Here is a 27,237-nt window from a genome sequence, read left to right on the forward strand (position 1 = left end):
TGATCTTCAGTTTTCCCATGTGTAACATGGGGATAATATTGCTCATCTCACAAGGTAGTCATGAGGATTAAATGAAGTAATAAGAGTGAAGTGCTTGGCACTGTGTCTAGAATAAGTGAGAGTTACTATATTAATCCAGCCACTCTGACAGAATCACTGTTCTCACTTTTTGCATTGCCTTTCAGTTTTTTTTCTGCACATATGTGTGTATAATATTAACATTTGTATTTACTAATTTGAGACCATAGTGCCTATTCCTTTTATATTAAAATGGTATCATCTCATGAGGTGTGAACACCTGGGGAAGGTGTCTGATTTTGAACCTAGGAATGTTTGACTCCAGTGCTTTCTGAACCATTGCATTTCAGTGAAGACACTCTGGGCTCCTCTACTCCTGCTGGTGTTTCTCAATGTTTTTTCCATCACTGTAATCCCCTTACCCTGCCAGAAGCCTCTTTAGACTTTTTCCCCAATTCCCCCCATACATTTATTTTAAAATGTTGTATTTTAAAATAATTATAGATTCACAGGAAATTGCAAAGATAGTACAGAGAGCTCCTCTGCGCCCTTCACCCAGTTTCACCCAATGGTTGCAGGTTGCCTACCCAGGGATCTGCCATGGCATGAGGCACCACAAAGACCCTCTCGGGCTGCCCTTGATGATGGTCACACCCACCCCTCTCTCTTCCACCATCTCTAAGCCCTGCCAACCACCAATCTGTTTTCCGTCTTTATAATTTTGTCATTTTGAGAATGTTATGTAAACAAAAATCTACCATACGTGACTTTTGGAGATGAGCTTTTTCTCCCCTTTTCTCACTCACCATAGTGCCCTGGTGATCTACCAAGTTTTTGCACGTATCAATAGTTTATTCTTCTCATAGCTGAATAATATTCCATGGAAGGGCTGTATCACAGTCACTTGAACTATTAACACCTAGGTTGTTTCTAGTTCTGGGCTATTAAGTATAAAGATACTATGAACAAATGTAAAGATGTTTGTGTGGATATAAGTTTTCATTCGTGTGAGATAAGTGGCTTGCGATATGATAGCTGGGTCATAGGGTAGCAGTTGTTTGCTTAGGTTTGTTTTGTTTTCTTAAAATAAACTGTCAAACGATTTTCCAGTGTAGCTGTATCATTTTACATTTCCACCAGTGATGTAGGAGAGATCCAGTTTCTCTGATCTCCAGAAGCTACCTGGATCCTTGTCAGCACTTGGTATTGTTGCTATTTTTAATTTTTGTTCTAATAGGTGTGTAGTGATAGTTCCATTAATGCCACAGATATACTGTATATCTGTTCATGTGCTATATGCATGTTGATGCTTTTTTTATTTTTTGAGACAGAGTCTCACTCACTCCAGCATAGGCTGGAGTGCAGTGGTGCAATCACGGCTCACTGCAGCCTCTACCTCCCTGGGCTCAGGCGAGCCTCCCACCTCAGTCTCCCAGGTAGCTGGGACTACAGGCATGCGCCACCACGCTTGGCTATTTTTTTTGTACTTTTGGTAGAGATGAGGTTTCGCCATGTTGCCCAGGCTAGTCTCGAACTCTTGAGCTCAAGGGATCCACCTGCCTCAGCCTCCCAAAGTATTAGGATTATAGGCATGAGCCACTGTGCCCAGCCCCTGATGCTTTTACATATATATATATATATATATATATATATATATATATATATATATATATATATATGATAGGATTTTGTCATCCCCCTGCCCTTGCCAAGAACCCACTCTCTCCCCTTTGGGGTGACTTCACTCCCGTTGAGAACGCATGGTTTCCCAAGCCTTCTGTCCAAGACTGAACCAGCTCCCAAGAGGCCAGGGAAACAGCTGGTTTGGACACGTTTGGTGCAGCCCAGCATTTGAACAAGCCTACAGCCTTGAACAAATGGAGGATTAAACACTCTGACCCCAAGGTGAACTAATTCCACAGAGGCACTGGGGTGGGGACTCCAGCAAGTGAGATGCATGAAAATCTAACCAGCACTTCCCACTCGCCTCTTCTTGAGCTCAGGCTCATCTCAGAGTAGGGTTTGTCCCCAGTAGCTGGTGTCCACCATGGCTGTCACAGTAGAGCGGAGCGGTGCCCAAGGATGCTCGGGCTGTGAGTCCCTGAATCAGTCAGCATCCTGATAACAGCTCACTGTCCCCCACCGGACCCCGACTCACCCAGGCCAAAGTGTGCCACGGGCTCCATCTCACACAGGTAGCCTGAGCCCCCGTCGATGATCCTCAGGTGGGCCCCACTCTTCTTGGTGTAGAGCACGACCTTAGCTCCCCTGGCAAAGGCCCCAAACCGGGTGCGTGGCACCACTCGCAGCCAGTTGTTGTTGAAGCCCTGCAGAGAGGGTGAGAGGCAGACACCCGGTGGGCATCAGCATGGTGGGTGGGAAGAGCAGGGAGCCAGGGAGGACGGGAGGGGGAGAGGGAGAAGAAGGAGGAAGAGAAGAAAGCAGGCAGAGGAAAAAGATAGAAACAGGAAGCCAAACAAGAAAAATGAATGAGGCGAAGACAGATTGGCTGAATGAAGGAGAGGCACTGCAGACAGAGGAGACAAAAGCCGAGGGACTCAGGGCACAGTGTTTGGCAGATAAATGATACTGGAAGGCAGAGAGGCAAGGGCTTCTCCCAAGGCGGCCCTTCCTGAGCTTCCCGGTGCTGCTGGAATTTACTTCCCTCCTCCAGGGCCCGGGACTTCCATTACCCACCATGCTGGCCAAGCCAGCACCCCGGCACCTTGCCCTCACCAACTCAAGGTACCCGAGAGCACACAGGGCTGGGATCTGTGGCTCCTGAGGTCTTAGCGCACCTGATTGCCCCGGAAGACGGACAGCGGCTGAGCCATGGACTCTCCATGGGACAAGATGAGGTCCAGCATCCCGTCTCCGTCGAAGTCGGTCACCACACCCCCTACAAACAATGCAGATTTCACCTCTGGCCGTAATCCAGGAGACCCACAAAGGAGACACGCTCCCAACCAAGTGCAGTATCCACAGCCCTGGGCGTGGGAGCCAGAGAAAGCACAGCACCGGGGCAGGAAGGCTGGGGCTTGGCACCCATCTCCTATCCTTCCTAACAGCAGCCTCATGATAGGACTCACGGGACAGACATTTCCTTCCTTCCCCTGGTCTTTGCATGGAGAGGGTGTGTGCAAATTACTCAGACCACATGGTCTTCTTTCTGGTCTTTCTATTATGGTTTGAATAATACACACCTGTTATATTTGCACAGGTTTTTTTTTGTCAATTTACCAAGTGTTTGCATATACATAGGCTCCTTTTGGTCGTCATTACAACCCAAAGAGGTGAAGAGGGCAGATATAATTATCCCCATTTTATGAATGTGGAGAACAAGACCCAGAGGGTAAAGTCACTTTTCCAAGACCACAAAGTGAGGCAATGGCAGAGCTGGGTTCTGGGACCCCTGGCCCAGTGCTCTGTCTGACAACAAGCTGAGTGCCAAGAGGGGAGGGGTCAGATGGCAAGATCCTCTGCCTGAGAGCAGAAGGGGCTCTCTCCTCTCCTTTCCATCCCCACCTGGCAAGGCATGGCCAGAGAAGCTCCTGCCCACAGACCCACAGATTCCCATTCCCCCACCCCCCATCAGCCTGGGATTGGGGGAGTGGACCATCCTCTCCTCTGCTTCCTGCCTGGCCATCCCCAGGGTTCTCCCATCTCCACTCTCACCCCTGCCCTTGAGTCTCAGCCCTCAGTGTGGCAGGGACAGGAGTGGCTCTGCTGTGGGACTGGCTGCCCCGTCCCTCCCGCCCTCACCCCAGTGTATGAACAGTGCTAAGGGGGCAGTGCAGGCCAGATCCCCCAGGTGCCCCTCACCTGTGCCCCGGCCCTCAGGCTCCAAGGCGTCGCCGGGATTGAGCTCCTCGATGAGGGGGTCTCCGTGCTCTCTACGGATGACGCTGCAGGAGAGGAGACAGGCTTGCTCTGGTGGGGTCTCAGAGGCCGCTGGACCAGAAGGCCCACCTGCTCCATTCTGTCCCCTGAGCATCCCCGGGTCCCAATGTGCATGGGCTACCACCTGGCTGCCCACGGAGCCACTCTCTGCTCCCAGGCCCTGCCTATACTCTGCCTGTTCCCTGCCTGGGTTTTAATTTATGTTGGTAAATATTGATTTTTCCTTCTCTAATGGATGAATTATAGGCAGCCTGGGGAAGGGCAGTTGATGGATGAAGAAGGGGCAGGGACACAACTACCTTCAACCAACCTTCCTTGTCCTTCAAGTGGCCCCTGGGTTTCCTAGTTCTGGATGCTACCCAGGGTTTAACCCCACTCAATGCTACCTCCTCCATGCCCTCTTGGACCATCCTGCTGGAAGCAATCCCTTCTTTCTTCATGGGCTTTATTACTTTCTGCCTGTGTTACAGCTCTGTATAAATGCATCTGATCTCCCCTGGTAGAATGTGAGCTCTCTGCAGGCTGGGACCTTGCATTGTTCATCTTTGCTTCTCTTGCAGTATCTAACACAGTGCTTGGCTCTCAGAAAGCTCCAAGCACATGTCTGCAGGATACAAAGGTGAATTCCAGAGGCAAAGAGAGGAAAGGGGTCCCTTTGGGTTGCAGCGGTTCTGTTTGGAACTCTGAATCTTGATGTTATTTATTTCAGAAACGTCTGCTAGAAAAGTCCTGCTCTTTCTCTGCACTCAGCTGATGATGGCAGTGAGCTTTCCTCTAGAATTTTTCTCACTTGGTGTATTCTCACAGCCTTGGGTGCTCTGCCCTAGATGTGTGGGGCAATGATGGGAAGGTAGGGTGTAAGGAAGAATTGGCATCGCACTTCCTACCACATTGCAGGTTGCATGTGAGAAACACCAGAGGGCCGTGATACAGTCATAGCTTCAGGAGGGGGTCGGAGTCCCCTGAGCTGGAGCCTTTGGTGGCTGGGTGGCAGAAAGAGCTGGCAGATGCCCCATGAGGTGGGCTTGTGTGTTGGTGTGCATGAGTGTGATGCCCACAGTCCCTTTGACCATATGTGTCCTGCAGATTCTGCCACAGCTGTGCAGAGACACTTCTTGGTTCAGGTGACAATGCAGTTAAGGAGTCCTAAGGATAACACCCAGCAATCAATTCCACTGTATTTCTGTGTTCATTGAACACATTCTTAGGCAGCAACTATTGTGTGCCGGGCCCTGCGTGAGGTATGGTGCACAGCAGAAAGGATGGAGCTCAGAGTCCGTGTTAACAGGAACCACCGTTCAGAGGGCTGAAGGCCTAGGGAGAGTGGGTCATGGGGAGTCCAGAGTTGGGGAAGCTCACCCAGATTCGGGCAATCAGGGAAGTCTCCCTAGAGGAAGGGTCAGCTAAGCTGAGACCACCATGGTGAGTGAGCACATGTCGCTCAGATGAAGAGGGATAATTGGGGGCTAGAGGGAGTGGGCAGCCTGAGGGTGAGGCCTGGCATAGCCCAGAACTGAAGAAAGCTTGTTGTGCCTGCTGCTTAGATGTAAACAGGGAAGTAGAAAGTGACAAGGCTGGAGACGCAGCCAAGCTGGGCTATGTGGATTGTGTCAAAGAGTTTGGACTTCATCCAAAGGCAATGGGGAGCTTCTAGAAGGTTTTCGGTGGGAAAGGGGTGTGGCCAGACTTGCATTTTCAACGGCTCTGTCTGCAGGACTAGAGACAAGGAGAGCAGCTGGGGGAGGTGCAGGAATCTCCGTGGGAGACCAGGAGTGGTGTCATGGTGGAGAGTGAAGAGCAGGTTGGAGACATGGCTAGATGTGAAAGGGGGTGACCCTGCACACCGCAGTTGGCCTAGGAGTGTCCTTGTTCATGCCTTTTTGCCTCTGTGATTCTTTTTCTTTTTTCCTTCTTCTTTTTTTTGCTGTAATTATTAAGAGGGCTCCCTTTCACTCTCATTAAGTGACTGTTTGGGTGCTGAGTTCCCTGGGTGCTGCAGGTATCATTAAAGGACGTGCAGACTCAAGCACACTGAGGCTTTATGTCCCCACAGAGTTCCTGGCATGTTCCTGGAGAGCACCAGGGCCAAGGAGCCCACAGTGCCTGTTCAGTGACAGGTGAAAAGCCCCCGTGGTGTGGGACAGTTGGGGGTTAAACTTCCAGAGCTGCCAGCTGAGTGCCAGTCCCAGATGCAGCCCCTCTCGCTGTCCTCTCTGCTGCGTGCTCAGGACCCAGCCATCTGCCACAGGGACTTGGGGCACAGCCACGTACCTGGGAAGTGGCTTCTGCTGCTGCTGTGTGGAGGCAAACACACTAACCCATTGGGCAGCCACGTGGTGACTTGCTCTGTCCATTGACAGCTCTGGGCCAGCCTGCCTTGTCCTTCCACCCAGCCCTTTCTCCCCGCTGCAGGGGACGCTGGGAGATTTGAAGCAGGCTGGATGGGCAGGATGGGCAGGCAGACAGAGACTAGGTTCTCGGGCCACAGAGACAGGAGCACTAGATTCCTCAGTGCTCAGGCCTCGTCCTCCTGGCGAGTGACACTTTATTAGCCAGAGAAGGAAAGCAGTGTCTCTGTTAACTAGCAATTGATCTTCTGCAATTTATCTGGAAGTTGTGAATAAGCTTTTCGCAAGGCACCTAATTAGTAAATCTAGCGCCTTCAGGGGGTGATTACATCCAGTCAGGATTGATGCTTTGTTAATAATTATATTTTAAAACACGCTTAGTCACACTCATGCCTTTTAGTATAAATAGTTGGGCCCTCCCGGGAGATGGGGTAGGGGTCTTGGGGGGCCGAGCCAGTGATCTGGCCCATGTCCTGGATCCAAGGCCCTGGCACACCCTCCTTTCCCCACCTGGTCCTGAGCCCCATTGGAATGTTTTAAGCCAGGAACAGGGACATCTCAGGCCACATGCCTGTCCAGGACTCCACCTATCCAGGACTCATGGGGAGACCCTGAGCTCAGTTCCCCAACAGTGGTTCTCAAACTTCAGTGTGATGAGAATCACCTGGTGCCTACTGTACTTGTTAAAATACAGATTCCTGGGCCTCACCCCCTGAGATTCTAAGTCAGGGGCTGTGGGGTAGGTCCCGGGATTCTGTACTTTAAGCACTCTGGGTGATTCTGATGCCAATGGTCTCTGGACGTCCCCTTGGAGAAATATTGCCGCAGCAAATCCAGCCCTTCCTCCCTAGACACACTGCTCAGAGGCCTGCACATTCCCTCCATTTCTGAAACCCTTTTCCTTGTCTACCAGGAACCCTTGTCATCCAGAATTTCCCAAAGGATGGTTTGCAGAACACCAGTCTCAACAGAAAAATCTGTGGAAGAAGTGCCCTGTGATCTGGCCTATTTGGAATACTCCATCCATCTTTTGGAAAATTAAAATATTTATGGTCAAGTTAAAGGCGCTGAGAAGTCCTGCAGTAAATAAACCTGTATTTACTTGGACCCCGTAGCCCCTTTCTGTGGTAGTGATTGGACCCCATAGCCCCTTTTCCTGGTAGTGATTGGAGCCCGTAGCCCCTTTTCCTGGTAGTGATTGGACCCCATAGCCTCTTTTCCTGGTAGTGATTGGAGCCCGTAGCCCCTTTTCCTGGTAGTGATTGGACCCCGTAGCCCCTTTTCCTGGTAGTGATTGGAGCCCGTAGCCCCTTTCTGTGGTAGTGATTGGACCCTGTAGCCCCTTTTCCTGGTAGTGATTGGACCCTGTAGCCCCTTTTCCTGGTAGTGATTGGACCCCGTAGCCCCTTTTCCTGGTAGTGATTGGAGCCCGTAGCCCCTTTTCCTGGTAGTGATTGGACCCCGTAGCCCCTTTTCCTGGTAGTGATTGGACCCTGTAGCCCCTTTTCCTGGTAGTGATTGGACCCCGTAGCCCCTTTTCCTGGTAGTGATTGGAGCCCGTAGCCCCTTTCTGTGGTAGTGATTGGACCCTGTAGCCCCTTTTCCTGGTAGTGATTGGAGCCCGTAGCCCCTTTTCCTGGTAGTGATTGGACCCTGTAGCCCCTTTTCCTGGTAGTGATTGGAGCCCGTAGCCCCTTTTCCTGGTAGTGATTGGACCCCGTAGCCCCTTTTCCTGGTAGTGATTGGACCCCGTAGCCCCTTTTCCTGGTAGTGATTGGACCCCGTAGCCCCTTTTCCTGGTAGTGATTGGACCCCGTAGCCCCTTTTCCTGGTAGTGATTGGACCCTGTAGCCCCTTTTTGTGGTAGTGTGGCTTTGTATCTTGTGGCGCTTGGGTTCTGGGCACACTTTGGGCCACATTTCCCTTCCCTTTCCCTGCAATAGCAGAGGCCGGCTCCTTGGCCAGGCTTTGCCCTGCATTCCCACAGCCTCTTGCCCAGTCCTCGTCCTTCCTTCCTTTCTGTTTCTTCATCAGGGGACCTGTGTTGACCTTGGCCTGACCCCCTGGCCCTGGGAACCCTCCCCTTCTGATTCTTAAACCTTCTCCCTGACCGTTCCTCCCACCAGCTGTCAAGGATGAAGAGCCACGAGCCAGGATGGAGCATCTACCGGAAGAGGCGGTTGGCTGAGGAGCTGCGGTAGGCAATGTTGTTGAAGAAGATCTCCAGCTCCTGGTCATTGTCAAAGTCGGCGGTGATGACCGTGCGGACAGGGGAGGGCATGGAGAACTTGGGTGAGGCGATGTCCTGGAGGAAACAAGGCTGGGGGTCAGTGGCAGGAGAGTGGGCTGGGGCGGGAGGCCAGCTCTCCTCTATGGAGTGTGGGGGCAATTAAAAATAAGAGACAGTCCAACCCAAAAGCTCCTCTCCTGCCTCCCGCAAAGGACCTGGGGGCTGCCTTTAGGACCACACAGACCTCAGGCTGCTTGTACGAGAAGAAGGAGGGAAGAATAACAGTCGTGCTAGACACCAGTGAAGTGCTTAGCCGATCCCTAGTCTGGATCACACCTGTCCATCCCTTCTGTCCATCCCTTGAGGCAGTACAGACATTAGCCTTCCCATTTGACGGGTGAGGTAACTGAGTCCTGGAGAAGGAGGGGAACTGCGATGTCACAGCTACTGAGTGGGGAGGCCAGGGCTTCTGATTCCGGACTCTGTGCCCTTTCTCCTAGGCACCCTTCCTCCTCTGTGCTGAGTCAGAAGCTGGGTGGGCACCGGAAATCTCTGTGCATCTAAATCCAGGCTCCACCACTGACTAGCTGTGTGATCTTAGGCAAGTTACTAACCCCCTTGGATCTCACCTTCCCCATCAGTAATGTGGGAATAGTAATAGCTGCCTGGGTTGTGAGGATTGCATGTAAAATGCCTGGCACAGAGTGGGCATGACATAGCTCGCTGGCAGCCTGTCCTGCCTTACCCACCACCTGCCTCAGGGAAGGTGAAAGAGGTTACCTGTAGCTGTGGATTTGGCTGCCTCTACTACCTTACGTTGTTTCTTGGGAGTCTTTTTATTTTTATTTTTTGAGACATTTGCTTTGAGGGGGTTGCGGTATCAGCTACACCTGTCCAGGACTAATGGGGAGACCCCAGGCCCAGGATAGCCCAGCTGGGACTCCAAAGTACTGGGAGGGCCTTGGGGGACCAGGCAAAGGGTCCCAGGTGTGTTTCTGCCTCTGAAATAGAAGGAGAGCTGGGAAGGGCAATCTTCTATTTCTGAGCGTAATATCCTCATCATAGGTGGGTTTTTCCCCTAAAGACCTTGGGGACATGTCTAAGTCCCAGGGCCCACGTGGAGAGGGCTGAGAAAGGTACAGGTGGTGTCTCTGGGAGCATCCTCTACCCGACTTGGGCCTGCTCTCGGCCTCCTGCTGCAGACCCTCTTTGGCAGCCACAGGGATGAGCAGGCTGGGTCAGCGGTCGAGCTGCCTGCTCTGGGGAGGCCAGGGAAAGAGGCTGTCTCCATCAGAGGAGTAATGAGGTTGAATAAGCCTGGCCAGCTGGTCTGGGTGGGTTGAGCTGGGCCTTAAGAGCCAGGGAGCAAAAAGACCTCAGGATCTCTAGCCGTTATGATTCTATTGATCCTATAAAAATGGAAACCTCCCATAGCCCCCTTGGGGTTGCCCTATTCGATGCCTGAGCTTCCGAGATAATGTATGTTAAGCTTAGCACAGTTCGTGACACATGGAAGGCACTTGATAAATAGGGCATTTATGTATTATTAGTATTATTATTGCTCCTGAGAGCTCTGGGGAGGGGCCTTCGGAAGAATTAACAGGGTTCCTCACCCTCAGTGCGTTGGCGTTTGGGACTGGATAATCCTTTGTTGTGGGGCTGCTTTGTGCACTGTAGGGTGTTCAGCCCTATCCCTGGGCTCTGCATACTAGATGCCAGGAGCCCTCCCTTCCCCAGCTGTGACAAACCCAAATGTCCCCAGACATTGTTGAATGTCCCAGAGGGAGGGCAGCAAGATCATCCCTGTTGAGAAGCTGGGTGAGAACAAGAGTAGAATAAAGGTGGAAATCGTCCAAGATCCCAGGACGAGCTGTCCTGGGCTCAGGGCATGCCTCTTCCCAGCCCAGGGAGCCTGAGTCTCAAGCCTTAGCAGGGAGGGAGTGGCTGGGCCTGGGCGTCCCAAGGTGGCTGCTTACAGGGAAGGGACTTGGTAGGGGTGGCCTCTTCTTGGTTACACAGACATGAGGTCCCTGGGGACTTCCCTGGGATCCTCAAGCCTCAGGAAAACCCTGGAACTTTCCCATTTCCTCAGGGGTTTTTGGCAGACCTAGGTATCTGCAGAACAGTCCTGGATCCCTGAGATCAGCTTCAACCAGCCCATGCCCTCTGTTGCCCTCCCTGAGAAAGTTCCAAACCCATGCCCCTCATGCTGTTGGCACCTCCATCACTGTCACTAACAGCCCTTTTGAAGAATTCTTGGCATCGGTCTATCAACAGCTCAGGGAGGGGGCACAGAGAGGGCTCTGAGGCCACCTTGCCTGCCATCTGCTGTTTGTCTTTAGGGGCAGCTGTTGGGAACTCCGTGGCTTCAATCTTCCATTCTCTCCACCACTTTGCCCTTGGTTTGAACGTCAGTCTGAAAAGGTCTAAAAAGCTGAGGCCTGGCTTTTGTGGAGTGTGCAGGGGATGCCATCCTGTATCCCCTGCACACTCCACAAACACTCTCTGCTCTAGCTGCTGGATCCTTTCCAGGAGCCACCAGAAAAAATGGCCTGGATCCAGAGAGTGCAGTCCACCTCCCAGGACTCCGGCCCACCTCGGAGGCTGCTCTCCCACCTCTGCTGACCTGGTTCTTCCTACTCTTGGATCCAGAGCTCCTACAGCAGCCCAGCTGTAGTCCCTCGTCCCCTGGTGTAACCTTCCTTGTCACCCCACCCCCACTCTGGGCCCTGAGAGCCTTGAGCCCTGCTCAGCCTGGTGGGAGGAGCGAGGCAGCTCCATGGCATGCCGGGGCACCCCTGCAGTGGTGCTGTAGGGAGGAGTGAGGGAGAGGCCCTTTCTTTTTATTTTATTTTATTTATTTATTTTTTTATTTGAGATGGAGTCTCGCTCTGTCACTCAGGCTGGAGTGCAGTAGCACGATCTCAGCTCACTGTAACCTCTGCCTCCTGGGCTCAAGATTCCTGTGCCTCAGCTACCGGAGTAGCTGGGATTATAGGCACGCACCACCACACCTGGCCAATTTTTGGTATTTTTAGTAGAGACAGGGTTTTGCCATGTTGGACAGGCTGGTCTTGAACTCCTGGGGTGAGGCCCCTTCTTACCCGGAAGCGGACCTTCCCATGGGTGCTCATTTGCAGATAGAGGCGGTGGGGGCCATTCCAGTTGCCATAGACGATGTCCACTTTGCCATCACGGTTGAAGTCAGCCAGGGCGACACCTCGCCCATGCTGGTGGGGGTCGTCCACACCTGGGGAGGAGAGGCAGGAACTCTCAGGGCGGCATCCCCTGCACACTCCACAAACACTCACCCTGCTCTAGCTCTGTGACAAGCAACTAGGGAGGGTGACTCTCATCTTGTTCCCGGGAGGAGATACGGGAGACATAGCTGCAGTCTCAGAAGCTCTCTATAGGGGCAGGAAGTGGGACAGTCATGTGCTTGAAAAGAAGACCCAAGACTTGTGTTCAAGCTGTGTTTGCCCAGCATGCATATTATTTTTACCCTGTTTGGGGGGTGGCATGGGTTGGGGGAGGGAGACTGGGGGAAATTCTGGAGGACCAAAGGCTCTTCCCGGCCACCCCTAACACTGCCACTGGAAGACATTAAGCTGATCATGCCACTCTTTTGCTTAAGCTGATCATGCCCTCCAATCCTTTTAGGGAAAGTTCTAATTCCTGCCTGGGGAGCACAGGGTTCTGCCTGACCATGGTCCTGTCCGCCTTATCTGGTCTTGATCTGGTCCCACTCTCCCCATCTTTCCAGCTCCTGGGCCTTTGCTCAAGCAGGTCTCTACCTGGGATGCTCTCCCTCTAGCTCTAGGTTACCCAGCTCCTGGTTATTCTGCTCTCAGCCACAATGTCACTTCCTCCGGGAAGCCCTCCCTGACCACGCATCTGAGACAGCTCATCTTGCCCACCCTGTCAATCTCCCTGACAGCCTCTTAGTCTTCTCCTCCAACATGTTGATCACAATGTGCGGTTACGTTCCTTTGTGGTTGACTTGTTAGGGTCCGGTTTTCCCACTATCCCTGACGTTCCATGAGGTCAAGACTCTCTTCTTGGTTCACCTGGGTACACGCAGCATCTATCTCAGGGCCTGTGGTTGCCTGGTAGTTTTCAGTAAATACTTGCTGAATGAGTGCACAGACATAAATAACATGACAGAAGGCAAACCGGGGACGTGGGTGACAGCAGAGGAAATACTACAGCCACGACAGAGAAGCCCACAGCATGCCTGGTGAGACCTGGAAAGCGAAGCCTCTGTGCCCAATGCCACCTGCTTATACTATCCACGGAGTGGGTGCTGGGGGAGGAGAGAGGGTGGCTTTGCCCAGAGCGATGGGCTGACCTCCTAGCTGCTCACTGGCCAGTGCATAGCTTGAGAGACAGAGGTGAATGCGACTCTAAGCACCCACCCACGTTGACTCTTTCAGAGGACAAATAGCTGTGGGTCATCAGGCTCTCTGGGATGGCAGACCACAGGACAATGTAATAGGCAGTGGGGATCAGAGACCCCAGGACACAGGGAGCTCTTGCCAGAAGGCAGGGTGGGGCCCCCTGAGAACCCTGGAGGCTGAGTGTCCTCCTGGGGGAGAGAAGGAGCTGGGGGAGGTGTGGGAAGAAGAGGCAGTGAGACTTGAGAAAGAGGGTTCGCAGAGGACTAGGGGCAGCCTCCAATCCCTAGGATTAATACTCCATTAATTCTCTGCCAAACTCCTCGGCCCAAATGTCGGTGGCCTTCTGCGTTGGCCCATTTCTCTCCTATCTATGAGGCACCTTGACAAGGAGCTGGTTCCCTTTCACGGGAATAATCGGTGCCAGGCTGCATTTCACAGCAGCATCTGTTTGGGTGATGAATGCCCTCTTGACATGTCTTGTTAAACCCCTGCAATCATTCTGACTTTCAATTACGGGCCTAGCACCTTGCCTCTCTCCTCCCGCCTGATACCTTCTCCCACTCCAACTTGTTCGCTCACCTCTGCTTCCATCTCTTTAACACCTTATCAAATCCTCTAGGTTTTCTCCACTATTCCCTCCCCTTTGCTTTATGATTTTTCAGCAATGAGAAAATTTGCTGCCAAAGGATAGCACTAGGAGGGGTGAGCCAGGTGGGAGGACAGGCCAGGGGAGTCCAACTTCTGCCTTGCCAGAGAAGGATAAGAGGTAAGGCAAGGTAGGGAGCTGAATGGCAAAAAGCTGGGGGTGGGTGTGCATTCTGGGCCAGTAAGTCCCCACAGTGGAGCTCCTGGGCAGAATGCTGGGGTGGTAGGTACTCGTAAGTCCAAGAATCCAAGAGAACAGACTGGCACACGTGCAGGGATTCGATGTGAACTGCTGGCAACAGCCAGAGCTTGCAGGACCCTTGATCTCTGTGTCTAGATCCCACTCACCACTCCTGCAGGCCAGAGCTCTTCCCCATGCCTCCAAGAAGGAGGTGAAATCAAACCTCCCATTCATTGGCAAGGTCGGGGGAAATGGTCAGGGGTGCCTGGGATGCAATCATACATCCGAAAACTCGCAGGAAGTGTCCACTCTGTCATTCAGCAGAATTTACCGGTGGGCACTGGAGGCCAAGCCTTGCGTCAAGAATGAATAGAACCGTGACCCGGTCCTTGTAAAGCTCATAGACAAACCATGATGGCAATGTGGAGCCTGAAGAAGACGTGCATGCCACGGGCAGCAGGAGGAGGAAGGACCAGTTTCTGCTAGGTGGCACAGGGAGTGAGGAAAATCTCTGCAGAGGTGATATTTGAGGTGAACGATGAAGGCTAAACGACGTTCTGCAGGTAGAGAAGGGGGAGGGCAGTCCAGGCAGAGGCCATGGCAAGTGCAAAGGCCCTGAGGTGGGTGGGGGATGAGTGCAGAGGAAGGAGGAGGAGCACAGCTGGGGGCCTGGGGCACTATTTTGTGTGGGTTTTATCCTGCTTCTTATTACAGCCGGATATTTTTGTCTACATCTGTTTCTAGAAAGTCATTGCCTTTTCTGTGTGTAGGGTGGTCTTAGCCTGATTCAAGTGGGCATCCCTGGTTCCCAGTGCCAACCTGACACTTAGTAGGGGCTCCATGAATGCTCACTGTATTGAACTGAATGTTGAAGATAAATGTGGGAGGGGGCCAAGGTGGGGAGAGGCAGCTTGGAGGATAGGTTGATGCTGAGAGACACAAGCAGGACTTGGAGGGTCGCGGGCAATCTCAGGTACTGGAAGATGGCAATTGGCAGGAGTTTCAGACCCCTTTCCCCAGCAGCAAACACTCCCTGTGGCTGGAGCCAAGGGAGCTAAGGAATAGGAAGTGACAAGCAGCGTTTCTCTGTGTGGTGCAGACGATGACTTGCCCTGCTCTCCCTCAGCCAGAAGAGACTATCCTGGAGGGGGCAGGGCAGTCTGGAGTCCTCTGTGGGTCTGGGGTGAGGGGTCAGGGTGCACAGGGCATGGCTGCCTCCACTCACCAGCACTGGCCGCAGCGTCCACAAAGGTGCCATCGCCCCGGTTGTGGAAAAGGAAGTTAGGCCCATTCTCATTGTCGCAGAAGATATCCGAGGCACTGCTGCTGAGGATGGGGCCCACGCTGACGCCTCGGCCCCCTAGAAAAGACATCGACCCACAGTGAGTGGCAGAAGCAAGCCCCAGGCCCACCTGGAGGACAGGGCTGCCTCTGAGGCCTGAGGGGAACTGCAGCAGAGGCTCCTCAGAGGAGCCTGGGGGGAATTCTGCTTCCCGTGCTTTCCTGAGCCTAAATCTGGGCTCATGGTCTCCATGAATCTGTGTGGAAGGTAACAACACTGATGAAGAGGGAAGGAAGGAGCTCAACCGGGCATGGGGACCCCACACAGAGGCCAGCATCTGCCTTCCCCTTCTAAGAGAAGTGGCTGAACAATCATCTTAAATCCTAAACCCACAATAATCCTAAACCCAACTCTAAGCACGCCATTTTGGTCAAGTCACAGATACCCCAACAGACTCCCGACTCTCACTTTGAGTGATACATATGCTGGTCAAGACCACTGGGTATGTCCCAGCTTTAAGAACCTATAGGGATAGGTCCCAGCTATAGGTACGCAGATGCTTACTTTGCTTTGTTTGACGTTAAACAATTACATCCATCAATAGTGAATGGGTTGAATGGATTATGGAGCATCCATATGACAAACCATTCTGCAGTAAAAAGACTGCATAGATCCATATGGATTGACTTGGAGGAGTGCCTGTGATATATGGTTGAAAGAATCAGCAATTCACCAAGTAATGGTATTGTGAGATCTTGCTTTTATTTTTTAAAATAGGAAAATACATGCTAGTTCTGAATACACATGTTTGTGCAGAGTTATTCAGTTCGGAGAAAAGTGGGAAAGGCCGCACCCCAAGCTGTGAACACTGGCTACCTTCCTTGATGGGGTAGGATGTGGGGAAGGAAAGAGAAACGATAGTTGGCCTTTTTTCTTTGAATGTCTTTGTAGTGTTTGACTTGTTGCAATAAGAACTGCTTCTGTAGTTTGAAAGGAAGAAATCCAATAAAGTATATATGTTTTTTAAAACGGAAAGAAATCAAGCCAGCTCCACATTGGGCTTTGAAGTCTCTAAGATCAAATCTGAGCTATCCACGTCAAGAAGTCTAACCTTAATACGTCCTGAACAAACCACCCCCACCCAGTGGGTTTCAAATGAAGACTCTCTGCTTGCCAGGCCCCACCTCCAGCTCCCAGGAACACAAATCTGCCCTGAGAAAGCCTTCCCTCAGCCACGCCCCCAAACGCTGGAAATACTGTGCAGAAAATGGCCCGACCAGGATCAAGACACGGCTTCTAGCCCCAGCCTGGCTTCTAACAAGCTCTGTGACCCTGGGCAATTTACGTTACCCTTGAGCCTCAGTTTCCTCATTTGTAAAATGGGGGAGAGTCCGACCTGCTTTTTCTACTTTGGGGTTTTGAGAGGACCAAATGAGGTAAGATGCACCTGTCAGAATGACCATTATCAAAAATATGAAAGACTACATGTGTTGGCAAGGGTGTAGAGAAAAGGGTACCCTTGTATACTGTTGGTGGGAATGTAAATGAGTACAGACATTATAAAAAACAGTATAAGGCTCCTTAAAAATTAAAAATAGAACTGCCATATGATCCAGCAATCCCACTACTAGGTATATATATCCAAAGGAAATGAAATCAGTGTGTTGAAGAGATACCTGCACTCTGAGGTTCACTGCAGCATTATTCACAATAGCCAAGATATGGAATGAAGATACGAAGTGTCCATCAATGGATGAATACATAAAGAAAACGTGATATATATACATAATAGAGTATTACTCAGCCTTAAAGAAGAAAATCCTGTCATTTGTGACAACGTGGATGAACCTGGAGGACATTATGCTAAGTGAAATAAGCCAGGCACAGAGAAGCAAATACCACATGATCTCACTTATATGTGGAATCTAAAAAAGTTGAACTCATAGAAGAAGAGAGTAGAATAGTGTTTACTAGGGGCTAGGGGTAGGGGTGTTGGGGAAATGTTGGTCAAAGGATACAACACTTCAGTTTAACGGGAGGAATAAGTTCAAGAGATCCATTGTACAACATGGTGACTTTAGTTAATAAGAATGCACTATATACTTGAACTTGCTAAGAGAGTAGATTTTAAGTGTTGTCACCCCCAAAAAAGTATGTGAGATAATGCATATGTTGATTAGCTCGACTTAGCCATTCCACAATGTCTACATTATTTCAAAACATCATGTTGTACGATGAGCTGTATGAAAGGGCTCTGTGGACGCTGCAGCCTTGCTGCTCAGAGCCAGGTCTGAGAAGCAGTTGCAGGAATGTCACCTGGGAGCTTGCTAGAATTGCAGAATCTCAGGCCCCTAATGAAATCAGAACCTGCATTCTAACAAGACCCCTGGGTGGTTTATGTGCGCATTAAAGTTTGAAAAGTACTGCTCTAAAGGGTTGTTTACTATAATAAGAAGAGTTATCAGAGCACTCCAGAAGAACTTGATTTTTAAAAAAATAAACGAAAGCTCAAGTACACCTGTGTAAAGAAAGGCCAGGCCCGCCTCTGGATGGGGCAGAGGTTTCCCCAAAGTGACCATGCTTATTTGAGACAGGGGTTCTCTTGGTCTCTAGGTGCCTCCCATCCTCTGAGAGATGCCCCCAGGGGAAATCATGGGGCCTTTTTCGCCTATGCAAATGGAGCCTGCCCACCAGAGCTGGCATTTGAGGCCAGGGAGATGAGGTGGGGCGATGGCACTGCCACTCTTATTGCGCTCATAGTTAACACATTCTGGGCTGGATGCCTCCCAGATTCCTCCCAGATAATCTCATTAGCTGCCAAAGAGAGCCCAAGCCGCATGAAAATGAAGCCACTGAATTCACATTGCTCCTCTGGAATGTCCTCCAAGACACAGCATCCACTCTTCATGATGGGAGCTATGGAGTGGCATGGGTGGCTTCCAGAGGCCTGTCCTAAAGCCAGCAGGAAAGGATGTGGGGTCACAACCTGGGCACCACCTCTGCCCATTAAAAGAGGTGCCACTAAGTGGTTGCTGGCAGCTGTCCCTGCCCTGGTCTTACCAGCTTCTCTGAGAATCCCTCAGCCCTGCCCGGGCCCCTGGAAATTCCAGGTGGGACTCAGGCACTTGCCTCCACGCAGCTCCATCCTTCTTCCTCCGCTTCCACATCCTCCAATTTCCTCTCTGCCTCTGGCTCCCAAGCTGTGACACATTCCCTTCATTTTCTACAAAGCAGGTTATTTCCCTTTTGGACAAATTTCTAAATCTTTCTAATTAACTAATTGGGTTGGGTTGAAGCCTTGTACCATTTGTAACCTGTAATTACTAGAAAATTGCCATGGTAACCACACTACTAATTAGCCACAATTTATTGCCATGGCAACCGGACCATAACAGAGATGTTACCCACACCTCCTTCTCGGCAAGTTGGCTGCATAGTTGGGGAGCAGGTGAGTCGACAGTCAGGAAGCTGGCCTCCTGGGTGCCAGCCCCAGCAGCTTTACAATGGGGGCCCAACGGGGGGCTGAGGTGGGGCAGCCAGGTACCTGCACCCCTCACTGATGCCATAGGGAAACGACTCCCAGGTCGACAAGCAAATCTTCTTCAAACCAATAGAATCCACCCATCATTATGTAGGCTGCCATGCCTATGCTCTGCCAGGCCAATGTCAAAGGCCAATTATTCAGCAAATGTCTTCTACCAGGGCTTTCCCCTCCTCTCCTCTCTCCTTTGTCACACCCTCCCTCTCCTCCATCTCTTAAGGTTTAGTACACACCAAATTCGGTCACCCAGGGGGCAGTTAGGAACATCTTTATTTAGCTTTGGAGAATGATGTTCTAACAGGGAATTAACTCCACCTTGCATCAATTAATTCTTTTATAATTTGAGGCCAGCGCATTCTCTCGGAGCTGGAGAGGCAGTGCTGGTTGTGGGAGACACCACGGCACCGGGGGTCAGAAAGTCCAAGTTTGAGCTGTGTGACCTTGGGCTCATCACTGAACCTTCCTGGGCTTCTGTTTTCTCAGCTAGAACATAAGAGTGATAATAATAATGGCTCCTTCTCGGGGCTGTCATAAATATTAAGTGAGCTGGTTTTTGGAAGGTGCCTTGGAAAATGTCAGGTGCCACACAGTCATTAGCTGGGACTATTTACCACCTGCTGGGTGAATAATATCCCTTTATTTTTTCCCAGCACTTTCAGGCTTCAAAGACCTCCTTGTTCTGCTGTTGGGGTGTGACTGCTCCTCCCTGCCCATCCCTGCTGAAGGCTTCTGCTCACCCTGCCCATCAGGCTGGGTAGGGGCTGGAGTTAGAGGGGAAAATGCCCCTTGGAGGTCCCCATTTCCCCTAGCCACATTCTGGCACTCTGATGATCTGTTCATTGGGCCCAACCCCCAAAGGGCAGCCTTGGTTGTCCTCAAGAACCATCCCTTTACCTCTGAGCCCTGGCACGCTGGCAATGCAGACCCAAGTACAAGTCGGGTGCAGACAATCCATCTCTCAGACTGCATCTGGGCCAGCCCTCAGGGACTGGGGGGTGAGACAGGGAAAGATGGTGGGGAGGGAGGGTGTGCATGCAGCTGAACTTCTCCAAGCTGTGGGTCTGAGGACCCAGGGATGAGGCAGCACAAGGATTCGTGGTGCTAAGGTAAAGCCTCTTGCTTCCTGCCTGGCCTCTGCACCTCCCCTCCTTCAGGATCACGGGAAGCATGCTCTCCAGGCCTCAGTTTCCTTCCTGTAAAGTGGGTGGGAATTGAGAAGATCTCCAAGATTGCTACTAGCTTACTTTGCAATGAATGCATCCTCCAGGGTGGACACAGGATAAGCATGTTGGGGGCTGATTCCTGTGCCCATCTAGCCCTGCACCCTCTGCATCAGCAGAGACTCTGAGGTGAGGCCCCTCGGCCAGGGAACTTGGCCATCTGCTGAGACCTTAATAGAAACAGGATTCTGGTGAATGCCATGATTCGCAGGCTGCCAAGAGCATCCAAGATATTGTAAATGAGTAGGGCAGAAATGCTGGAAACGTGGTGCAGGAATGGGCACAGAGAGAGAGAGAGAGAGAGAGTGTGTGTGTGTGTAAACATGCTGGAAAATGGGATGTGAGGATCAAGTGCAGGATGGTAACAGGGTCTCTCATCCTAAATTTCCTGAAAAATTATAAGACAAGATAACTGTGTAGGTGCTGGTGTTGCCACTCCCAAGCCTTCTGGGAGCCTTCAGAGCCTGGGCAGGACTTGACTGTGTGGCGGGTATTAGACAAGGATACACCCCCGCTCATCCTTCCTGCCCTGTCTCTGCAGAATGTTAAGGCAAGGGGTGGGGCAGCAGGACAGGCCCCATCATTTGTTTCCTCTTGACAGAGGAGGGATTTGCACTGGCAAAGCCTGGGGGTGTAGCCTAGGGGTATAACCCAGAGAGGCTAGCCACAGGCTTGACATTTCTTTAAAATCTCTTGTGTTGAGAAAAATGCACACAAAAATTACATTTCAATTCTATAACATATCTGTGTTTGTTTTAAAAGAAACGCAATGTTCCCCCCGATACTCATCAAATGCATCTGACACCCCAGGGAAAAGGTCTCTGTGTGTCCTGGGCTTTGGGTACCCCTAGCAGGCCCGTGCTGCACTTCCTGGGGGTCCCGGGCCCTGGCTGGGGAGCCTGTCACTCCAGCCCTGCCTGGTCCCTGGCTGTCAGATCTGGCTTCACTCCCGATGAAAGGCCAGCGCCCACCTGGGAAGCTAGGAGGCCCCTTGGCCCCCACTCTGTAGCCCCTGGTTGAGCTCACTGGTGAGGATCTGCCAGAAGGCCTCAGCTGGGCTTTAGGCATCTCCGTCTCCTTCAATAATGACTTCCTATAAATCAGATCTGCCCTCCGCTTTGTTCCATACTGCTCCCAGCCAACAGCAAAACTCCCCACCTGACATCATAAATCCACCTTCATTTTCTTTCCGAATTTCTTTTAAGGCTTCTTTAATCACCACCTTGCAGCCTGGACAGATGCTGCCTCAAAGGGTGAGGCCAAAATGCAGAGTTCCTGGGGAGGAGGCGAGGCCTAGGGGAGGCAGGGCAGGCAGGAAGGAGAGCAGAGAGATGGACCCCAGAGGGGATGGGGATGAAGATGCCGCTGGCCATGCCCAGGACTGGAGGTTTGGGGGGACACACAGAGAATGTTTCCCAGGCAGGGGCTGGGCCTGCTTCTCTTGTGCATCCCCCTGTACCTTGCACAGTGCTCCCTGTACCCAGGAGGTGCCCAGCAGAAGGCCCTGGCATCGCTCTGGCAGAGCCTCAGAGTGGAAGGTGTTGGTATTTGCTATACTAGGTGGGCACTGCCCGTGTGCCAGGCCATGTGCCAGCCATGTCCCATGTGCGCCTCCTTTCGTTCTCACAACACTCTCATTTTGAAGATGAGAAAACTGAGGCTGGGAGAATAGTTTGCCCACTACTGCCTAGGCTGTAATGCACAGGGTAGGCTGGACCTGCACCTGTGGCCTGGCTCCAGACCCTGTCCCCTCACCTGCTAGTTCAATGTCCTCAGAAAAGCTGAGGGGCATGCCCAAGGTCACTGGGGCCTGGACCGCGGAGGCAGTGCAGGACTCTTGCCTCTCACCTTCCCCTCCTCTTTTTCCATCTGGTTCCACGCCAGGGCCTTGGCCATGTCCAGAACCCAGTTCCCAGGATTCCCAGGCAGGGCAGCTCCCGGCACTGTCCCGGCTTCAAGAGGCCTCAAGCAGCTGGGGAAGTTGGGGACCAGGGGATGGGAGAGTGGTCTTCCTACTGCCCCAGTCTCTCTCCCAATCTCTCGCTTGGCCACCCTCCCGGGGCCCTCGAGTCCCCCGAGAGCTGGCATGGTGGCCACTAGATGGCACTGTGACCCAGCGGAGCAGCTGCAGCTGCGGAAATGGATAATGTCTAGAGAGGAGGCCTCCCCTCCCCCTCCCGCAGTGCTGAAGGCCGGTACCTGGATAGCACCTTTGCCTAGCCTGCCCTGGGGTGGCTGGACCTCCCCCGCTGTCCTGAACACTCAGCCAGGCAGCTGCTTCAGCCACAACAACCCGGGTGGGGCTGCCTCAAGTCCGGGTGCCAGCCTGGGGCTGTCATCCCAGTGGGTGTGGGCCTCCCCTCACAGCCCCTCCTGTCTTGCAGGCTGGTAGGGTTCTTAAGTTGGAGGTCATCGGAAAGGTCAGCGGGCTGTGGCAGTTTAAGCATCAGGAGGAGATGGGGCTCTAAGTGCTAGCTCTCTACCAACCTCCTGTGTGACCTTGGGCGAGTCCCTTCTCCTCCCTGGATCTCCGTCTGTTCTTTGTAAAATGGGAGGTTCTCCCAGGTCATACAGCTCTCTAGCAGGCAGGTGCTGTGTGGCTTGGCTCCAGGGACCTCCCAGCTCCCTGAGTGCACATCTGGACATGGCCTGCCCCTTCTGCCTGCTTTCCTCCCAGCTTCTCAGGCCCCCTGGCACCACAGTGGTGCTGAGCGCTGGCCACGCGCCCAAAGCCTCAGCCATCAGGCCGGGCTCAGCATGGCGGCCCTTACATTTGGGGTCCATTCCTGGGGCTCGGGGGTGGGGGACACTCCGGGCTAGTTTTCCAGCCAGACGTCCATGTGTCATTAGCTGAGTGACAAGGGGGGCTACAGGGTAGTGTTGGGGGGCTTGGCGGGCAGGGAAAGGGTGGGCTGGAGAAGGCGCGCAGACAGAATAGTAACATGGTGGGCCAAATAGGTTCTTGTCAGCCAAATGGCTTTTGGAAGTCTGCAGAGCTGTTCGAACACGTCCTCTGGGCACGCCAGCTGCCCCAGCCTCCCTCTGTTCCTCCACCAAAGCTGCTGCTTCTTCCTTGAACTGCCCGTCCTTCCAGCCCAGCCGGCACAGTTGGCTGGTGCTTCCATCCCCACTGTGCTCCTCATCTGCCTCCTCTGGGTCTCCTCCTTCCCGCTCCTCGGTTCTGTGCCAGCCCAGCCAGCGTGAACAATGCCCCCTTCATGCTCAAACCCAGCCGCAACCTCCAGATTCTTTTATTCTGTGTCTAGCCTGCTCTCCCAGTCCTTGCCTCCCTTCCACCTTGTCATTTTCAAGTGCTTCATCCCCCCAGTGCACCCCCCTTCCCTTGCAAGATCAAGGCACTTAATTGCCAAGCCAGCCCAGTGCACAGAACTGGCAACTATGCAGAAAAAATTGACTGTACAAATCTAGGCTGAAGCGCCTGCATGTTTATTTCTTTTCCGGGGGAAACATAGTTTATTACTGATACAGCCTTTCCATGGTACCTTCACGCGCGGAGCTCTCAGGCACTTAGATGGGGCTTGAGCTGTGCTAACCATTTTATTGTCTAGTCATTTGTTCCCACAAACTTTGTAAGACAGGTCAACATTAATCTCCCCCTTTCACCAGGGTGAAAAGTGGCTAGGGAAAGGCATTGTAAACTCAGGAGAGGCAGTGACAACCCTTTCTGGGCAGGACTTTGAGATGATGCCACCACCCAGGTGTCTGGAGGCAGGGTGGTACCCCAAAGGACCCCTCAACCATCCTTCCAGCCCCAGGATTCAGACTGAGGGAGGCTGCCACTTTGGAAGCCTCTGCTGCACACGTTGGGATGGGTATGTTGGGAAGGCCGACCAACAAGAGGATCTCTCTGTCCCAAGTGCAGGTCTGGTATGAATGTGGCTTAAGTTCACATGACAAGTTGTTGTGTACAGCTCTGGCTTCCTGATTTTTGGCACCCAAAACAGGAACTGGATTGCTCTGCCATCAGCAGTCTATTGGCAGATTATCAGAGTTTAGTCAGCAGCCGTGCTGGAATTAGAAAAACAGCCTTCCCTAGAAAGATCTCCCTGTCAGAGAGTCTGACAATAGGTCCCCCAACCAGAAAGATGAGGGGAGAGCGTGCCTTCAAAAAAAAGTGCTGGAGAGGTTTTGGAACAAGAACTCAATTCTTTGAGCTCAGTTATCCGAGACGGGACCCAGCTGAAGCCTAGGGATTTAGCACTCAATTCCTGGTTGCTTATGTGTAAGTAAATAATTTCATCTGCGATTTGGCAATAAAGAATGCTTTAAATCTCGGCTTTTGTGATTTGTCAGTTTTCTCCTACAGAACCTGCTCACCCATCATTGAGGTTACCAGAGGCAGTGGGGCAAGAGGTTCCAGGGAGAAAATGATGTGGTGTTCTCACATCCCACTTTCCAGCAAGCCAGATGTCCCCTCTTGGGTACCCCAAAACTCGTACCTGCCAGATATCTCACCAATGCTTGGAGAGGCAGTGTGGGAGAAGCCTTCTGTGGGTGGCAGGATGGAATGGAGCCTTCATCTCCCCTCACCAGGGACATAAGGCCACCCTTTCCTTGTGGTCTCTGATGAATTAGACTCAGCCTTGCAGGGCCCTGGCCCCCAGCCCCAGCCCCTCCAGCATACTACCTCCCATGTCACTCTGCATACCTGTATATTTGCTGACCCCAGCCTCAGCAGCCACATCTCTGAGCGCCAGAATGCCCCGGGAGAGGTCACTGGCCTCAGGGTCCATTTCAATGAGGGCATCAGGGCCCACATTACCGTAGGCGTAATTGGCAATGTAGATAGAGTAGCGTCCAGAGCCCTGAGGAAGAAGGGAAGGGAGAGGTGAGCAGGGCCACCTTGGCTCATCCCAGAAACCGCCCCCTCCCCACCCCAGGTAGGACCATAGCTCTTTCACAGGGTTGGGTTCTTCTCCCCAGGTCTGTTGCAAATGGCCTTGCAGGCTGTGCATGGCGCATTTCCAGAGGGGCTTTTCACAAAGGCTACCATGTGAATGACACTCCCAGGAGTTGTACAACAAAGCAGGCTGCTTTTCCTTCCATCCTGTTCCAGAAGAACACACCCCTCCCTCTCCCCCACAACCACCTTTTTATAGACAATTTTCTAATGTGCCTCCCTCCAGCTGAGCTCTCTCCAGCTGCCAGCCAGGGTAGCTGCTCAATAAATATTTGCTGATTGATTGATCTACCAATTCCCATTATTCTCAGTCTCTCTCTCCCATTCAAGCTCACTCCAGCCAAGATGACAAGCAAATTCCTGAGCCATCTCCCTCCCCCTGTTCCCACCCCGCGCTTCTTCATTCCTCTGTTTTGGTAGCACGAGAGGCACAGATTTGCAGGGGTCCTACTTCCCTCGTCCCTTCCCTTATTTCCCCTGTATTACCAGGAAGAAAGATAATATCACTTCTGTCTTTATAACACTGTCTCAAAGATTTGCTTTTCCCTTTGCATCCAGGAGCAGCCCTGGGCACCAGCTCCTCCGTGCAAGAGTCATTCTCTTCTCTAGTCCAAAACACTGCTGATGAAAGACTCTTCTCTTCTGCCTGTTATTATAATGGTGCTATTTCTTCAATGGATGACTTCTTCCCAAGAGATCCACACACTTTCTAAATCAGTTTTCTGGCTTTTCTCTCATCCTTTTCATCACTTCCCTCCAATTAATTGGACAGTAAATATTTCTTAAGCTCTAACTATGTGCCAAGTGCTGTGTTAAAAATGTACTTAAGACAAAGTCCCTGACCGTAGGTTGCTTGTAGTCTAGTTTGAAAGACAAGCCATAAACCTAAAAGGTCCTAAGAGAAACTGTTGAGCTCACAGCAACAAGACTGGTGGTCCTCTTTCCTTGCTTCAATGTCTCATCCATTGGCACCATGAGCACAATTCTTGTTCCACCTAACTGGTCAGTGACTTTATATCTTTGTGGGTTTTTTGGTGTTTTTTGTTTTTTTTTTTTGGGTCTCACTCTGTTGCCCTGGCTGCAGTACAGTGGTGTGATCTCGGCTCACTGCAGCCTCCACCTCCCAGGTTCAAGCGATTGCCCTGCTTCAGCCTCCCAAGTAGCTGGGATTACAGGCACGCACCACCACTCCTGGCTAATTTTTGTATTTTTTAGTAGAGACAGGGTTTCACCATATTGGTCAGGCTGGTCTCGAACTTCTGACCTCAAGTGATCCACCACCCCCCCCCGCCTCAGCCTCCCAAAGTGCTGGAATTACAGGTGTGAGCCACCGTGCTTGGCCAATCTTTGAAGGGATTATTTTCTTTGAGGAAGCTGATTAAGAGCCACATGAGTCTGTCTGACTGGTGGGTGAGGCCAAGGAGGGAGCTTAGAGTTTCCTGTTAGAGTCTCCTGGGTGACACAGATGTATCAACAATGATACAAGCATATGGCAGAGAACACGTACAGGATTTCCTGGGCACACAGAAGAGGAGCTCCTCACCCAGAGGAAGGGCACCTAACTATGGGAAGTTCTGAAAAACTTTTCTTAAAGGAGTCTCAGTCAGGTGAATTGGAGGGAAAAGAACCTTCCAAGTAGAGATGAGAAAGAGGAGGATGTATGTAGAGAAACTACAGCAGTTAGTTCAATGTTGCTGGAATATAAAATGCAAGGCAGAGAGTGTCAAGGGATGAAGCTGGAGAAGGTGGTAAATTTGTTCCCTACAGATTGCTCTGTTCCTTCTCTTTTGGTTATCTGAGTCTTTATGCTGCTACCCGGAAATCTGTGCTTTACAAATCTTGCTACTCAAAGTGGTCCCTACACCAGTGGCATTGGTGACCTCTGGGATCATGTTTGAAATATAGACCCTCAGCAACCACCCCCTAAGACCTGCTGAATCAGAATCTGCATTGTGGCAAAACCGCCATGTGATTCCTGTGCAAAATTGGAGTTTGAGATGCACTGCTTTACAGTACAGCCTTTTTTTTTTTTTTTAAGACAGGGTCTCCCTCTGTCACTCAGGCTCACTGCAGCTTCGACTGGGTTCAAGTGATCCTCCCACTCCAGCCTCCCAAGTAGCTGGGACTACAGGTGTGCCCCACCACACCCAGCTAATTTTTTTTTTTGTTTGTTTGTTTGTAGAGACAGAGTCTCCCTATATTGCTGAGGCTGGTCTTGAACTCCTGGTGTCTCAATCTATCCTCCCCATTTGGATGCCCAAAGTGCTGGTTAAGGGTTTGAGCCACCACACCTGGCCTAACATGGCTTCTTGATTAGGGGAGAACTTTGAGAAGTTCTCAGCCATCCTAGGCTGTGCAGAATGACTGGATGAAAAGTGAATGAAGGGGCCAAAGAGGAAAGTGCGCCATCACAAACCCTTCCCGACCCTACCAGCTGGCAGCAATCTCATCAACAAATGAGCAATAAGTTCAATGGACTGAAATTCACTCTGCTAGAAATTAGGATATTTACAAAATTCAGTTATACCTAGTTCCTTACTTTGATTTTTCGGGG

General features: G+C 51.7%; 1 protein-coding gene across 2 annotated transcripts in view, besides 1 other annotated feature; it reads right to left on the reverse strand.

Annotated features, from left to right (window-relative positions):
• CRTAC1 (cartilage acidic protein 1) overlaps positions 1-27,237 on the reverse strand; it is a 165,622-nt gene that overhangs the window by 28,069 nt on the left and 110,316 nt on the right. For both annotated transcript variants that reach the window (NM_018058.7, NM_001206528.3), the window contains exons 5-11: positions 24,432-24,588; positions 14,945-15,079; positions 11,601-11,746; positions 8,435-8,571; positions 3,841-3,923; positions 2,817-2,917; positions 2,177-2,345 (exon numbers count right to left, since the gene is read on the reverse strand). In NM_018058.7, coding sequence (NP_060528.3) covers positions 2,177-2,345; positions 2,817-2,917; positions 3,841-3,923; positions 8,435-8,571; positions 11,601-11,746; positions 14,945-15,079; positions 24,432-24,588 — 928 coding nt within the window. The remainder of the gene's footprint in view (positions 1-2,176; positions 2,346-2,816; positions 2,918-3,840; positions 3,924-8,434; positions 8,572-11,600; positions 11,747-14,944; positions 15,080-24,431; positions 24,589-27,237) is intronic.
• Positions 21,425-22,001: an enhancer, noted in NCBI's record as "H3K4me1 hESC enhancer chr10:99674250-99674826 (GRCh37/hg19 assembly coordinates)". NCBI's record gives its function as "activates a minimal SCP1, AML or CMV promoter by ChIP-STARR-seq in primed H9 embryonic stem cells {active_cell/tissue: H9 hESC(primed)}" and the evidence as "EXISTENCE:reporter gene assay evidence [ECO:0000049][PMID:30033119]".

This window comes from Homo sapiens, chromosome 10 (assembly GCF_000001405.40).
Source record: "Homo sapiens chromosome 10, GRCh38.p14 Primary Assembly".
Classification (NCBI taxonomy): Eukaryota; Metazoa; Chordata; class Mammalia; order Primates; family Hominidae; genus Homo; species Homo sapiens.